This window comes from Homo sapiens, chromosome 3 (genome assembly GCF_000001405.40).
Source record: "Homo sapiens chromosome 3, GRCh38.p14 Primary Assembly".
Taxonomy (NCBI): domain Eukaryota; kingdom Metazoa; phylum Chordata; class Mammalia; order Primates; family Hominidae; genus Homo; species Homo sapiens.
The window spans coordinates 154891291-154907138 of NC_000003.12; the positions used below are offsets into that span (position 1 = coordinate 154891291).

The following is a 15848-nucleotide window of genomic DNA, read 5'->3' on the forward strand; positions in this document are numbered from 1 at the left end:
AACAAGAGTCAAAGCATATGAATTTGACTTTTTTACAGGAGAAAATCATGTCATTTCTAAGTTTTGATTTCTTCATCTGTAAAAAGCTAGTAATAACTTTACATACATAAAATAATATATATGAAAGTATTCTGTGCACTGTAAGCCACTATACAATGATACTGATAATAATGGTGATAAACTGAAAGCAGCAAAAGAAATCACTTTAGAAGCAAGGATGTCTTTACATATAAGGGAAATAATTCAATCCACATTAAAATCTTCAGGTTTATCTAGAGAGTCTCTGCTATCTTTGTTGAGAATCTCTTTGTTGTGCCTTTTCCTGCCAAAATTGAAGTTTTCTTCTACCATTCTTTGTTTGCTCTCATACCTTCTAGATGAGAGCTTGAAGCCCAAGCACAAGAAAAGAGAACAGTGTATGGGAGAACATAGAGGCAGTGCTGTGGACATAAATCAGAACCAGGGTGGTCCCAGTTCTGCCCTTTGAACATGACAGTATCTATTCCTGGAAGGAAGGGGAGCAACAGGACAAGGGCTCTGGGATCCTGAGGAAGTTAAAGCCAGCAGTGGTTTTGCAGCTTCCTAACTATCTTCTGACTCCACTTATTTTGCCTGTTCCAGAACCTTAAGGTGTCATCTTGGATCTTCTCAGGCAGTGACGACAAATCTGATGAGTCTGTTCTTGAGATGCTATAGTAGATGCAGGCCAACTAACCTTTACCTCCCCTTTCTAGGTCCAATAGCAGAAATCTAGTATCTTTCACTCTCCAAGGGAATTTTCAGTGGTTTTGGAAATTGCACAGCCCCCAAATGTCCTGGATGCTACCAACTACCAGTTTCAGACCTTTTACTATCACCTCTGATGGCTTCATCCTCACATTTGTCTCCCTCAGTACTTCAAGGTTTCTCTCTTGTTCCTATTACGTCTGCTACTAGCTTTGTAAAAATACACAATATATAGTGCACTAATTTTTATCAGACCCAATAGTTTCATTTATAAAAAATAAAAATAAAGAACCAGAAAAAAGATTCAGATGTATAATTAAGAACTCTTAATTTTTCCATTTGCTCTGCTTGATATTACTAAAATTTAGATGTCTGAAGATTTAGCCAACCAATCTCTAGATATGTCAACAATCACAAAACAAGTGTTCACAGAGTACAAACCATTTTATTAAGTGAAGAAGATTATTAAAAAACAGGCAGCTCCCACCTTCAAATATTTTAGGAATCCCTTACCGACTTAACATAATTAAAATTCCCACTGGGTTTCAATATTTAAATGCCATTTTATACAACTTGGGGTTATCCATGTTAACATTTAAAAATATTTTTCATCCATATTATAAATTAATAAATTTGTTTCAGTGCAGATAAATAGAAGGACTACCCATAGTCTTACCATCAAGAAAGAGTTAACTGCTCAGAAAAATTTGCTGCATTTCTCTTCTGTGTGTGTTATTTTTCAGAGTTTAGCATGTACAATATACACATTTTATTATCTTTTTTAACCTGTTTTGTCGTAAGTCTTTTCCATCCATTAGAGAATTTTTATAAATATAGTTTTAATGAATGTTTATTAAATAAGTTATGTTATTGTATATTATTAATAAAATAATGGACATTACAAGTACATTTGTGGAAATTCTCTATAATTTTATATAATATATAAATTTTATGTAATATTTGTAAGTATATTACTCTCTGAATGAAAGTTACATCCAGAAGTGCCTTTTTGCTCTTTTGAATAATTAATGTGATTAATATTTCTGTACCTAAGTATGTCTTCATCTTGAATTATTTTCTTAGAATATATTTCCCAAATTGAAATACTAGATGAAGTCATTAGAAGTTATGCTTTGTGTAATAATGTTTTGGTGATCTTAATACATGGGAACATAGCAAATTTTACATCCTAGGCTAATTTCAAATCAATCCTTATTGAGGTCATCAAAGAATAGGACTTGCTTTTAATAATAGATAATATTATTGAGCATTTTATGTGGCTCTTCTAAATCCTACTTATTCCTCCCCACAGCCCTGACATGAAGGCCCTATTATTAACCCAATGTAGCAGAAGAGAACAATAAAGCCCAGAGAGTTGAAATAAATGGCCCAAGGTCACAGCTAGGGATAGTCACAGTTACGATTTGAACCCATGCAACCTGATTCCAGGACCTTTATTCTTAACTACCACCTGCCCTCTAATAAGACAGCAATTCTTCAGCTCTCAAGGCAGAAAAGTACCAAACCTTCCCCCTATAAAATGTCTACTTATTATTTATTATATGCTTCCTTTCATTAAAAAGAATAATCTCACTTGGAAGCCAGCAGAGTAAAATTAAAGCAATTACAAGAGTACACTGGCCAGAGAAGCTGGGTTAAAATGTTGCTAGAACAAGCTGATGTTTATGAGAAGAAAACTTCAGGGGAAATCTCATTTATTACTCCATTCTCACACTGCTATAAAAAAAATCTGACACTTGGTAATTTATGAAGAGAAGAGTTTTAATCGACTCACAGTTCTGCAGGCTGTACAGGAAGCATGGCCTCAGGAAACTTACAATCATGGCAGAAGGCGAAGGGGAAGCAAGCGTGTGTTACCATGGTGGAGCAGAAGACAGAGAGAAGAAGAAGGAAGTGCCACATACTTTTAAACAATCATATCTCGTGATAACTCACTCACTATCACGAGAACAAGGGGGAACTCCACCCCCATGATGCAATCACCTCCCACCAGTTTCCTCACCCAACACTGGAAACTCAACCTGAGATTTGGGTGGGTACAGAGGGTCAAACCATATCACCCCTTTTCCGAGAGACATAATAGAGGAAACTCCAAAGTGCTCAGACGTTGTTCTCAGCTAATGTCTCTGAGCTTAACTAAATATAAGTGGCAAAAGAAAGAAAGGTTTAGTTTGGAGGGAGTGTGGGAACCAGAAAATAACAAGAGTTAGTCAAGCAGGAAAAGTTCATCCACTGACCTGTGAGTGCTCCTATGACAAAGGCCATGTCTTTTTAGTTATTACACCCCCAACACCAAACACACTGTCTGGCACATAGAAACGCTTCAATAAATGATTGCTGAACAAAAATGAACTGTGCTAGGCTGGGTGCGGTGTCTCATGCCTGTAATCCCAGCACTTTGGGAGGCCAAGGCAGGTGGATCACCTGAAGTCAGGACTTTGAGACCAGCCTGGCCAACATGGTGAAACCCTGTCTCTACCAAAAATAAAAATATTAAGTGAGCATGGTGGCACACACCTGTAATCCCAGCTACTCAGTAGGCTGAGGCAAAAGAATCACTTGAACCTGGGAGGCAGAGGTTGCAGTGAGCTGAGATCATGCCGCTGCACTCCAGCCTGGGCACCAGAGTCAGACTTTGTCTCAAAAAAAATAGAAAAATAAATAAAAATAACTGTGCTGCTTGCCAAAGGGCCTCCAAGGTCCACTCTCCAATACAGGACAAGTGAAACCCATTCCATGTAGACATTAACAGTACGAGAGCAAAGGAATGGGTTTGTAGAAGGATATTTCACCTGCAGGAGGAGTGAGTGAAAGTGGAAATAATGCACAAAAACCACATGATTCTCTCAATAGATGCAGAAAAGGCCTTCAACAAAATTCAACACCCTTTCATGCTAAAAACTCACAATAAACTAGGTATCTATGGAACGTATCTCTATTTATGACAAACCCACAGCCAATATCATACTGAATGGTCAAAACCTGGAAGCATTCCCTTTGAAAACTGGCACAAGACAAGGATGCCCTCTCTTACCACTCCTATTCAATATAGTATTGGAAGTTCTGGCCAGAACAATCAGGCAAGAGAAATAAATAAAGCGTATTCAAATAGGAAGAGAGGAGGTCAAATCGTCTCTGTTTGCAGATGACATGATTGTATATTTAGAAAACCCCATTGTCTAAGCCAAAATCTCCTTAAGCTGATAAGCATCTTCAGCAAAGTCTCAGGATACAAAATCAATGTGCAAAAATCACAAGCATTCCTATACACTAATAACAGACAAACAGCCAAATCATGAGTGAGCTCCCATTCATAATTGCTACAAAGAGAATAAAATACCTAGGAATCCAACTTACAAGGGATGTGAAGGACCTCTTCAAGCCAAACTACAAACCACTGCTCAAGGAATAAAAGAGGACACAAACAAATGCAAAAATATTCCATGCTCATTGATAAGAAGAATGAATATCATGAAAATGGCCATACTGCCCGAAGTAATTTATAGATTCAATGCTATACTCATCAAGCTACGAAAAAACTACTTTAAATTTCATATAGAACCAAAAAAGAGCCCACATAGCCAAGACAATCCTGGGCAAGAAGAACAAAGCTGGAGGCATAACGCTACCTGACTTCAAACTATTCTACAAGGCTACAGTAACCAAAACAGCATGGTACTGGTACCAAAACAGATATATAGACCAATGGAACAGAACAAAGGCCCCAGAAATAACACCACATATCTACAACCATCTGAACTTTGACAAACCTGACAAAAACAAGCAATGGGGAAAAGGTTCCCTATTTAATAAATGGTGTTGGGAAAACTGGATAGCCATATGCAGAAAACTGAAACTGGACCCCTTCTTTACACTTTACAAAAATCAACTCAAGATGGATCAAAGACTTAAACATAGGACCTATGACCATAAAAATCCTAGAAGAAAACCTGGGCAATACTATTCATGACGTGGGCATGGGCAAAGACTTCATGTCTAAAACACCAAAAGAAATGGCAACAAAAGCCAAAATAGACAAATGGGATCTAATTAAACTAAAGAGCTTCTGCACAGCAAAAGAAACTATCATCAGAGTGAACAGACAACCTACGGAATGGGAGAACATTTTTGCAATCTATCCATCTGACAAAGGGCTAATATCCAGAATCTACAAAGAACTTAAACAAATGTACAAGAAAAAACAAACACCACCATCAAAAAGTGGGCAAAGGATATGAACAGAAGACATTTATGCAGCCAACAGACATATGAAAAAATGCTCATCATCACTGGTCATTAGAGAAATGCAAATTAAAACCACAATGAGATACTATCTCATGCCAGTTAAAATGGCGATCATTAAAAAGTAAGGAAACAACAGATGCTGGAGAGGATGTGGAGAAATAGGGATGCTTTTACACTGTTGGTGGGAGTGTAAATTAGTTCAACCATTGTGGAAGACAGTGTGGCGATTCCTCAAGGATCTAAAACTAGAAATACCATTTGACCCAGCAATCCCATTACTGGGTATATACCCAAAGGATTATAAACCATTCCATTATAAAGACACATGCACATGTATGTTTATTGCAGCACTATTCACAATAGCAAAGACTTGGAACCAACCCAAATGCCCATCAATGATAGACTGGATAAAGAAAATGTGGCACATATACACCATGGAATACTATTCAGCCATAAAAATGGATGAGTTCATGTCCTTTGCAGGGAAATGGATGAAGCTGGGAAACATCATTCTCAGCAAACTATCACAGGAACAGAAAACCAAACACTGCATGTTCTCACTCATAAGTGGGAGTTGAACAATGAGAACATATGGACATAGGGGAACATCACACATCAGGGCCTGTCAGTGAGTGGGGGCCTGGGGGACAGATAGCATTAGGAGAAATACCTAATGTAGGTGATGGGTTGATGGGTGCAGCAAGCCACCATGGCACGTGTATACCTATGTAACAAACCTGCACTTTCTGCACATGTACCCCAGAATTTAAAGTATATTAAAAAAAAGATAAAAGAACCGTGCTGCTTGCCAAAGGGCCTGCAGGTCAACTCTCTAATAGAGGACAAGTGAAAACCAATCCATGTAGACATTAACAGTATGAGAGCAAAGGAATGGGTTTGTAGAAGGATATTTCACCTGCAGGAGGAGTTAGTGAAAGTGGAAATAACACACAGATTAGAAGAAGTAAGAGCCTAAATAAAAGAGATGTTTTCTTATTTTAGAGATATAAAAAAAGAAGTGGCTAGAATTTGTTATCTGAAAACTGGAGGCTAACAGAAGAATCTTCTACCCTGCCCTTGAATCTAAGATTTTTATACAGAAAAATGTTTTGACTCTATGTATTTAGGTATTTTAGATAAAAATATACTAATATTTTAAATTTTTGTTTAAGAATTCTTTCTTGAGCAATTTTCATTAAAGTAGAAGGAAAGAGAATGACAAAAGAGGGTAAGGGGAAAGGTCAAGGAAAGAGATACAGAACCCTAAAAATGCTTAAGTCAGGGCAAGCTCTGAACCCTAAAGAAAAGTTATGCTTGTGGATATTTAACCTCTTGTGATTTGTACAATTTTAATATGATGTATTACACCGTGTGTAACTCTTACAGATTGAAATTTTTGGCTTTATAACTTGGTATTTTATATCCTTTTCAGTTAGTAGCTATGGCTTCTATGCTGTCCCTGCCCATAGATCTTAAAATGGTACCATTTATCACTGAATTTTAAATGATACTAAAAATGACAATAAGGATGTTGAAGAATTTTTTTCCAAATGTATCTTATATTAGTCCATTTTCACACTGCTGATAAAGACATATCCGAGACTGGGTAATTTATAAAGAAAAAGAGGTTCCACGTGGCTGCAGAAGCCTCACAATCATGGCAGAAGGCCATTTTACATGGCAGCAGGCAAGAGAGAATGAGAGCCAAGCAAAAGGGGAAACCCCTCATAAAACCATCAGATCTCATGAGACTTATTCACTACCACGAGAACAGTATGGGGGAAACTGCCCCCATGATTCAATTATCTCCCACCAGATCCTTCCCACAACACATGGGAATTATGGGAGTGCAATTCAAGATGAGATTTGAGTAGGGACACAGCCAAACTATATCATATCTGCTCATCTCCCAAGCAATTCAAGGTTAACTTGAAAATATTTAGCAATACAATTTTAAATGCCTGCTCTTCATGGAGTTTAAATAAACATTCAGGAAGTTGGGGGGCAGTATTAATTGATGGTTAAGAATATAGTCTTTAAGACCTGGATTCCAGTCCCAGCTCTGCCACTTACTGGCTGTGTGACCTTGAGTTAAGTTAATTGAGCTGTAGGGTTCTCATTATAAAATAGAGATAATAATATCTACTTAATAGGCTTGTCAGAAGACATAGATAACACGATATGTGTAAAGTGCTTAACACTGTCTGGCACTTACTGGGCAACAAATAAACAGTAGTTGCTGCTGACCCTAGTTCAACTCTTCCGAGTTTACAAAGTGGACCATAACTGTTACAAGAACAGGATTCCTCATGAGACCCACATAACTTCCTGAATATGGGTAGGCCAGAAATTCTCTGGGAACTGTTGAAATGTTTCCTTCCAGATCTGATGAATTCCAGGACTTGCAAAAACTGCAGAAGTGAAAATCATTAACTAACATCTGCAAAAATCATTATATATGAATGGGTGAATTTTGTGTTCGTTCTCATTGAATCCCAACCATGTTCTAGTTCTTAGTAGGTAGTTTCCACCTTTATTTTGTACATTTGCCTTGGGCTTTGTTCACATCTTTTTTCTGTTAACATCAAGTTCCCCTGTGGCCTCACGAACAAACTTGTTCTCCTATGTTGTATATGGAAGTTGAAGACTTGATTATGACAACTGAATTAGAAGAAACTGTTATTTCATTTTACGGTTGGAAGAAAATGTATGATTTGGTAGTGAATTTTCTTTTTCTTCTTTGTTTGTTTATTAAAGACTGGAGGGAATATTTTCTCCATTTTTCCTCTTGATCCTGTGCATTACTCCTTCCAATCTAAAATAAGTAAGTGAAAGTAAAATTCAAATATATAAAACATGTTCAAACAAGCCTTAGGTACAAGGCAATAAAAGTACACAAAGCCACTGATTAGAATGTATAAGAAAATTTCACTACCAGTAATATAAAAAGCAAGGCCTAAATTTACATATGTGTGATAATTTGAATCCTAAGATTGAGTTGAATACTTTTATAAGTGAGGCTTACAGTTTTATTATTTAATTGACTTATAAAACTTTTTGCCAATTTAAACTGGGTAGGAGGTTGGTCATGTTTAAAAGGCCAGAAAGACATAGACAAAAATCATTAGTCTCCTTCCTGGGGCACAAATTAACTTTATAGCACCCACTTTATAGCATAGGCCATGATTCCTGCCTGTGATTTAAAAAGCTAGGAGAGTAATAAAAATATTTTTAATGGGAGGGAAATACAGTACATTCACTTGTAATTTTAAAAATGAAGTAAGCTGAGAAAAGATACCAACACATAAGAATGCAAATAAGAAACCAGAATAAGAATAGACAAGATGAAGCAAAACCAAATTTATAAAAGAGAATTAGACTGCATAAAAAGGCAAAAATCAATAAAAGCAATTGTATAAATTAGTAGGAAAAACAAAATAGGTTTTGAATGATTAAAGATTTAAATAAACTAATAATATTGTAATGATATAATCAATACTTTAATAGAATAGAGATTAGGAGAATGTAAACCAAATGGGGTGTGTGTGTGTGTGTGTGTGTGTGTGTGCTGTGTTCACTGTGTTAAGATGATGACACAAATTCAAAAGAATCAGAGTTGTATGAAACCAAATATAGTTCTCAAAATTAAAAAGCCACAAAGTTCAGCATTCTATCTCTTTTTTGCCTTTCTGGGCATGATGTTGCTTCATGGGTCCTGTAGACTGATAGCTAGGTAGAGCTGGGTGGCTGACGGAGGAATCCAGGTTTTTCCTCTGTGCCTCCCAGAAGAGTCTCCTGTCACTGTCCCAACCTCTGAGAGACACCTGTATCAGGAGAAGTACCCTGCTCAGTGAATATGGGACCAAGAATTCCACTGCTTCAGCCACACCCAGCAGGGACAATCACACTGTGAGGTGTGACGAATTTTACATCTTTTTGGCAACAGCAGAAGCCAGTCATTACAGTGATAAAGAAATTCATTTTTCAAATTCCATTTCAACTAATTTGAACAAACTTAATATTTTCTGCCTGTTCATAGTGAAGGCTGTATTTTTTCCCTCAAATAATGTGGACACAAAGCCTTTTGAAAATGTTTAGCTGTCATTTATTAATTTTTTTAATGGTCAAATACTTTAAATGTTCAAAGCTGAGTTAGATATGGTTCTTTCAAGTGCACCTTGGAAGTGGAAATTAACATCCACTTCCAAGTAGCTCAATTTTATAATAAATAGAAAAATATAAATGTCATTGATAATAGCTCTAATGCACAATTTTGTGTTAATTTTTAATTTTATTGTAAAATTAACTGCACTTTTATATTCTTCATCTTGACAATGTCTTATTACATTGTGACTCTAATCCTAGATTATTGTTTTGATTTAACGTTTTCTGTTATCATTTTGAATGCTGCTTATTTCTAAGTAAATGAATATAAGGAGAACATTAATTTCCAAAGCACTAATTATATATCACTGTCTTAATGTGTTTTCTTTATCAGACACCTCAACATTCCTTGCACATCTGAGACATCTCACCTTAAACTGCCTATCTAGATAGCTCTCAGTCTTCCACAGTGTCTGGAGTGTAATCAGTCACTAGGGAGGATGGCTTCCTACCTTCTCATTTTCTTCTAGATATTGCAATGTTACCAAGCCTTCCTTTAAAAATATTGCAAAGTTTGGTTTGGAAGAAAGTTGTATCACTTTTGGCTATTACTGGAAAAGTTTGTCATCACCTCAGTAATATTCTTCCTGGTTATTTCATATCTTGGCATTGGTATGCCCTTCAAAAAACATAGTTAAGTAATGGAATTGAACTCTCCCCAGAAATTCCTTAAGAACGCATTTTTGTTCTGAAAACTCTTTCCCTTAGATTTTATCCTCTGTTCAAGGCCTATTCTTGCAAATATTCTGTCAGAGAATGCACAGAAAATGTTTTTCATGGCACAAATGTATTTAAGGACATTCACTGGCGTGACAAAGATATTTAAGAGTCTCACAGAGATCCTAATAGGATGACCCTGTAGAAATTACTGGAGTACACAGTGTTGGAGAAAATTACAGTCAGTCTATCAACAGAATTTATTGGATGTTAGGCCATGAACTAAGTGCTGATCTTATTCAGACATGAGAGAAGGTAGAATCACGTAACAGTCACTCACAAGGAATACTTTGGCGGAAAACACAAATTTTTTGTATGGGAGTCAGATTTCCATAACTTGAATTTTTTCTGAACTTGTAAGATAAAATAAGTTCTGTGATATTTAAAGAGTCTCTCTAGCAACTCCTGGCATTGAAAGATTCTAAGATGTATTCTAGTACTTCCACAGAAACCACTCTTTCCTAACAAAACTATAATCTTTTAACTAAATGTCTTGGAACAGAGAATGACTATGCAAGATACAAGTCAAATTACAGGGAAAGAAAAAGTGCATTAAGGAAAACAAAATTAAATTTGAAATTATATAATAATCATTTACATAGCATTTACTGTGGGTTAGCCACTGTTCTCAGCACTTCACATATTTTAACATATTTAATTCTTCCAAGAAGTTCATGAGCTGGATTGTAATACAAATCTCATTTTTATATGCAGAAAGCCAAACACACACATCAGCTTAAAGTCGCAAAGAATAATGATTCAAACCTTGAGAGTCTGGTTCCAGAGCTCTGCATATAAGCATTACATTACACTATCTCTTAATGCCCCTGATGGTGTTTCTACATGTTTAAGAGCACAATATTACAGTCTGATATCTCCAAGTATAACTAAAACAAGTCATTTATTGAATCAACATTGATTGACTAGACATATCAATGAGAATAGATAAAATCAATAAACAGTAGTGGGATGAAGAAAACCACAAGACAGCAAGCACTCATCATGTACTATCAAAACAAAAATAGCAATTAAATTCAAAATGCATTTAAAACTTATTATTAAAAAGTAAACACTTAAACAGAGCCAGAAAAAAACACCCAAGCAAAATATTAAAATGTAATTCTTAGAGGAATAATATCAGTGGGGGGAATAAAACTGGCTTTAGCTTTCTGATGAAGGCCTTGGAAGTCAGCGTCATTATGCTGCATGGAAAAATAATTACTGAAGATGCTAACCAATTTGACTTGGGTCTACAACACAGAGATTCAGCATCAGCCAATCATTGCAAAGATATGTCTGTTCTAGCAAAGGTATAATTTTGTAGCAGATAAAATGCATTTTAATAATAAGCTGTATTGTATTAGTTAGACATGATACCAATATAATAATTCTTATGTTTACTCACTGTATCCCTAAGACTGTTAAAATCACTGCTGTCAGTTTCAACTGCAAAGCTGTCATAACTTTCTTTTATTCATATAGAATGAGGTATTTCCACCAACAGTGTAAAAGCATTCCTATTTCTCCACATCCTCTCCAACATCTGTTGTTCCTAACTTTTTAATGATCACCATTCTAACTGGCATAAGATGGTATCTCATTGTGGTTTTGATTTGCATTTTTCTAGTGACCAGTGGTGATGAGCTTTTTTTCATATGTTTGTTGGCTGCATTTATGCACTTATCTTCTTTTGAGAAATGTCTGCTCATATCCTTTGCCCACTTTTTGATGGGGTTGGTTTTTTTTCTTGTAAATTTGTTTAAGTATTTTGTAGATTCTGGATATTAGCCCTTTGTCAGATGGATAGATTGCAAAAATTTTCTCCCATTCTGTAAGTGGCAAGTTCACTTCTTTTGCAGGGCAGAAGTTCTGTTGTTTAATTAGATCCCATTTGTCAATTTTGGCTTTTGTTGCCATCGCTTTTGGTGTTTTAGTCATGAAGTCTTTGCCCATGCCTATGTCCTGAATGGTATTGTCTAGGTTTTCTTCTAGGGTTTTTATGTTCTTAGGTCTTACATTTAAGTCTTTAATAGTTCAACCATTGTGGAAGACAATGTGGCAATTCCTCAAGGATCTACAACCAGAAATACCATTTGACCCAGCAATCCCATTACTGGGTATATACCCAAAGGATTGTAAATCATTCTTGTGTAAAGTCACATACACACATATGTTTATTGTGGCACTATCCACAATAGTGAAGATTTGGAAACAACCCAAATGCCCATCAATGATAGACTGGATAAAGAAAATGTGGCACATATACACTGTGGAATACTATGCAGCCATAAAAAATGAGGAGTTCATGTCCTTGCAGGGACATGGATGAAGCTGGAAACCATCATTCTCAGCAAACTAACACAGGAACAGAAAACCAAACACCACATGTTCTCATTCATAAGTGGGAGTTGAACAATGAGAACACATAGACACAGGGAGGGGAACATCACACACCAGGGCCTATTGGGGGGGGTAGGGGGCTAAGGGAGGGGTAGCATTAGGAGAAATACCTAATGTAGATCATGTACCTAATGTAGATGATGGGTTAATGGGTGCAGCAAACCACTATGGCACGTGTATACCTGTGTAACAAACCTGCACTTTCTGCACCTGTACACCAGAATTTAAAGTATTTAAAAAAAAGGTATTTCACTAGGCATTGGCTTAATCTGAATGTAAAAATCATATATTTTTAAAAATCAACACATGAATAAGCTATTTCACTACGTTGGAGATTATCCCTCTTATAATCAATATAAAAGGGAGTTGCTTTGACATCATGAATCCAAAGCTCCTAGAAAAATGCTTGACATGCACAGTAGGTGTTCAACCAATATTTCTTGCATGAATAAGTAAATAAAAGCATCTGGCCAATAAGCAGAAAAGCAGACAGAATGTGTTTCCCTTAAATATGATAACAGAAACGTGAGTTACTCTACCTCTTATTAAAGTGGAATAAAAATAGAAGAGACTTCTGGTTTCTGGTGCAGCATATAAGGAACTTAGAAGTCACCACTGTGTCTTAAAAAAAGCAAGTAAAGAACTAAACAAACTGAAAAATGAACAACTCTTCTTAGATCTGTCAGAGAAGCAAGATCACAAGGCAAGCCACTCCTCCCAAATTGAAGATATAGGTAGATTCAGAAAATAACAACTAACTGAAGCAAAAGTCTCTTCAGAAACTAGCACTGAGGTAAGAAACATAACTAACAAATTACTGAAGAATCAGTGTGCACAAGGCTGAAAGCTGAAAACTCCAAGGATACCTAGTTGTAGGGAACCCCTCATACTTCTGGGCGTTTCACCTCCAGGAGCTCTACCAGGTCAGCACCATGAATATTGGAGAAAAAACCCTTCCTGCTTCCAGCAGGGGGAGATAAAAAGTAACCACTTTGAAATACACCAAAGCATTCTGTTTTTCTCAGAGCCTAACCTACTAGGATGTAATCAGAGCCTAACAAGCCCAAAGGAAGGGAACACTTAACTCGAGGTGGTTCTAGCCTTCCATGTGGGAAAAGGAAATACCCAGCTCCAACTCCCTCTAAATCTCCTGTTTAATATTAATGTGGGAGGAAACCTGAGAAGCACTTCTGAAGCTCACCAGTGGCACAGACTCACTAAAAGATGGAGATTTGCTGATGAGACTCTTGAAGGCCTTTTCTGCCCCCACACCTTACACCATAATACTAAAGGCCTATTTAATGCAGTTTATTTTACTCGATATATTATGTCTACCTCTCAACAAAAATTTACAAGGCATACTAAAAGGCAAAAATCACAGTGTGAAGCAATCAAATAAGCATCAGAACCAGAGTCAAATATAACAGTAATGCTAGACTTCTAAATTCAAGATTTTAAAAAAATCTATGATCCAAATAGTAAGGGCTTTAATAAAGTAAGTAGATAACATGCAAGAAAGGATAAAAAATGTAAGCAGAGAGAGAAATTCTAAGAGAGGCAAAATAGAAGCAATAGAAATTTCTACAAACTGAAAACAGAGAAGAAAAAGACTGACAAAAAGCTAGAAAAGAATATTTAAGCACTGTGGGACAAGTGCAAGAGGTACAAATATGAATAACTGGAATATTAGAGAAGAAGAAGCAAAGGAGCAGGATATTTAAAACAATAATGATTGTGAATTTCAAATTAATGTCAGACACCAAATTACAGAAATAGGAAGCTTATAGAACACCAAGAAAGACACATCCACCCCCCAAAAAACCCTAGTTCTATCATATTCAAACTTCAGAAAATTAAAGATAGAGAAAGAAGGTAGAGGGAAAATAAACACTTTACCCATAGAGGAGCAAACAATTAGATGAAACTTCTCCCCAAGAACCATGCAAACAAGCAGAGAGTAGAATAAAATATTCAAGGCCGGGCGCGGTGGCTCACGCCTGTAATCCCAGCACTTTGGGAGGCTGAGGCGGGCGGATCACTAGGTCAGTAGATCAAGACCATCCTGGCTAACACGGTGAAACCCCGTCTCTACTAAAAATACAAAAAATTAGCCAGGCGAGGTGGCGGGCGCCTGTAGTCCCAGCTACTCGGGAGGCTGAGGCAGGAGAATGGCGTGAACCCGGGGGGCGGAGTCTGCAGTGAGCTGAGATCGCGCCACTGCACTCCAGCCTGGGCGACAGCGAGACTCCGTCTCAAAAAAAATAATAAAATAAAATATTCAAACAATATTTTAGCTATTTTAGATATAACAGTATTTAAAGTGTTGAGAGAAAAAAAATACAAACCTAGAATTTCGTGCCCTGTGAAATTATCCTTGAAAGGAAAGAGAAATAAAGGCTTTCTCAGTTGAACAAAAATTGAGAGAATTGGTTGGCAGAACTGCCTTGCAATTAATAAAAAAAGAAATGTATCAGAAAGAAGGAAAATGATATAGTTTCAGAAACTACGTAAAGGAAGAATGTCAGAGAATGAGTAACTAAAGGTAAAACAAAAACTTCTATTTTTCTTATTCTTGATGTAATAGATAAGAGTTTGTTCAAAATAATAATGGCAGCAAAGTATTTAATTATGCATACTTAGGTGAATATATATACATAAGCATATACATGTAAATATGCATAAGCTTATGAATAAGTGAAACAAATGACAGCAATAACACATAAGACAGGAGGAAAGAATTATGACTATTTTGTTTTTATACAGTAGTCACACTACTCCTTAAATGGCATTGTGTCATTTGAAAGTGGACTTAGATTGGTTGTAAATGTATATTACAAACTCTAAAACAAGCACTAAAGAAATAAAATTTTTAAAAGACCTATACTTGATAACTAAGAAAACATAAAAAGTAGAATCATTTAAAATGCTCAATTAAAAGCACAAGAGGCAAAAAAATAAAAAAAGTACAGTAGACAAATATAGGAAGATAGAACAATGGCAATAAATACAAAACACTAACAAATAGGATAAATATAAATCCAACTATATCAATGATCACTTTAAATTTCAGTGGCCTAAATACACCAATTAAAAGACAATGATTGGCCAGGTGCTGTGGCTTACGCCTGTAATCCCAACACTTTGGGAGGCCAAGAAGGGTAGATTACCTGAGGTCAGGAATTCAAGACCAGCCTGGACAACATAGTGAAACCTCGTCTCTACTAAAATACAAAAATTAGCCGGGCATGGTGGCATGCTCCTGCAATCCCAGCTACTCTGGAAGCTGAGGCAGGGGAATTGCTTGAGCCCGGGAGACGGAGATTGCAGTGAGCCAAGATCGCGCCACTGTACTCCAGCCTGAGCAACAGAGTGAGACTCCATCTCCAAAAAAAAAAAAAAAAGACAACAATTGTCAGTCAGAGTGAATGGAACAACACGATCCAACTGTGTGTTGTCCACAACTTTAAGCATTAAAACATGTATAAATTAAAAGTAAATGGAAGGTGAAAAACATACCACGCTACTACTAATCAATAGAAAACATAGCTATTATGTTTTAATTTATCAAGCTATAT

General features: G+C 36.3%; 1 long non-coding RNA gene across 1 annotated transcript in view; it reads right to left on the reverse strand.

The window, feature by feature from the left end:
* Nucleotides 1-7775: 7775 nt before the first annotated feature.
* LOC105374171 (uncharacterized) overlaps nt 7776-15848 on the reverse strand; it is a 71200-nt gene continuing 63127 nt past the window's right edge. Inside the window, exon 5 of the long non-coding RNA XR_001740568.2 lies at nt 7776-7807. This is a non-coding gene — a long non-coding RNA (uncharacterized LOC105374171). The remainder of the gene's footprint in view (nt 7808-15848) is intronic.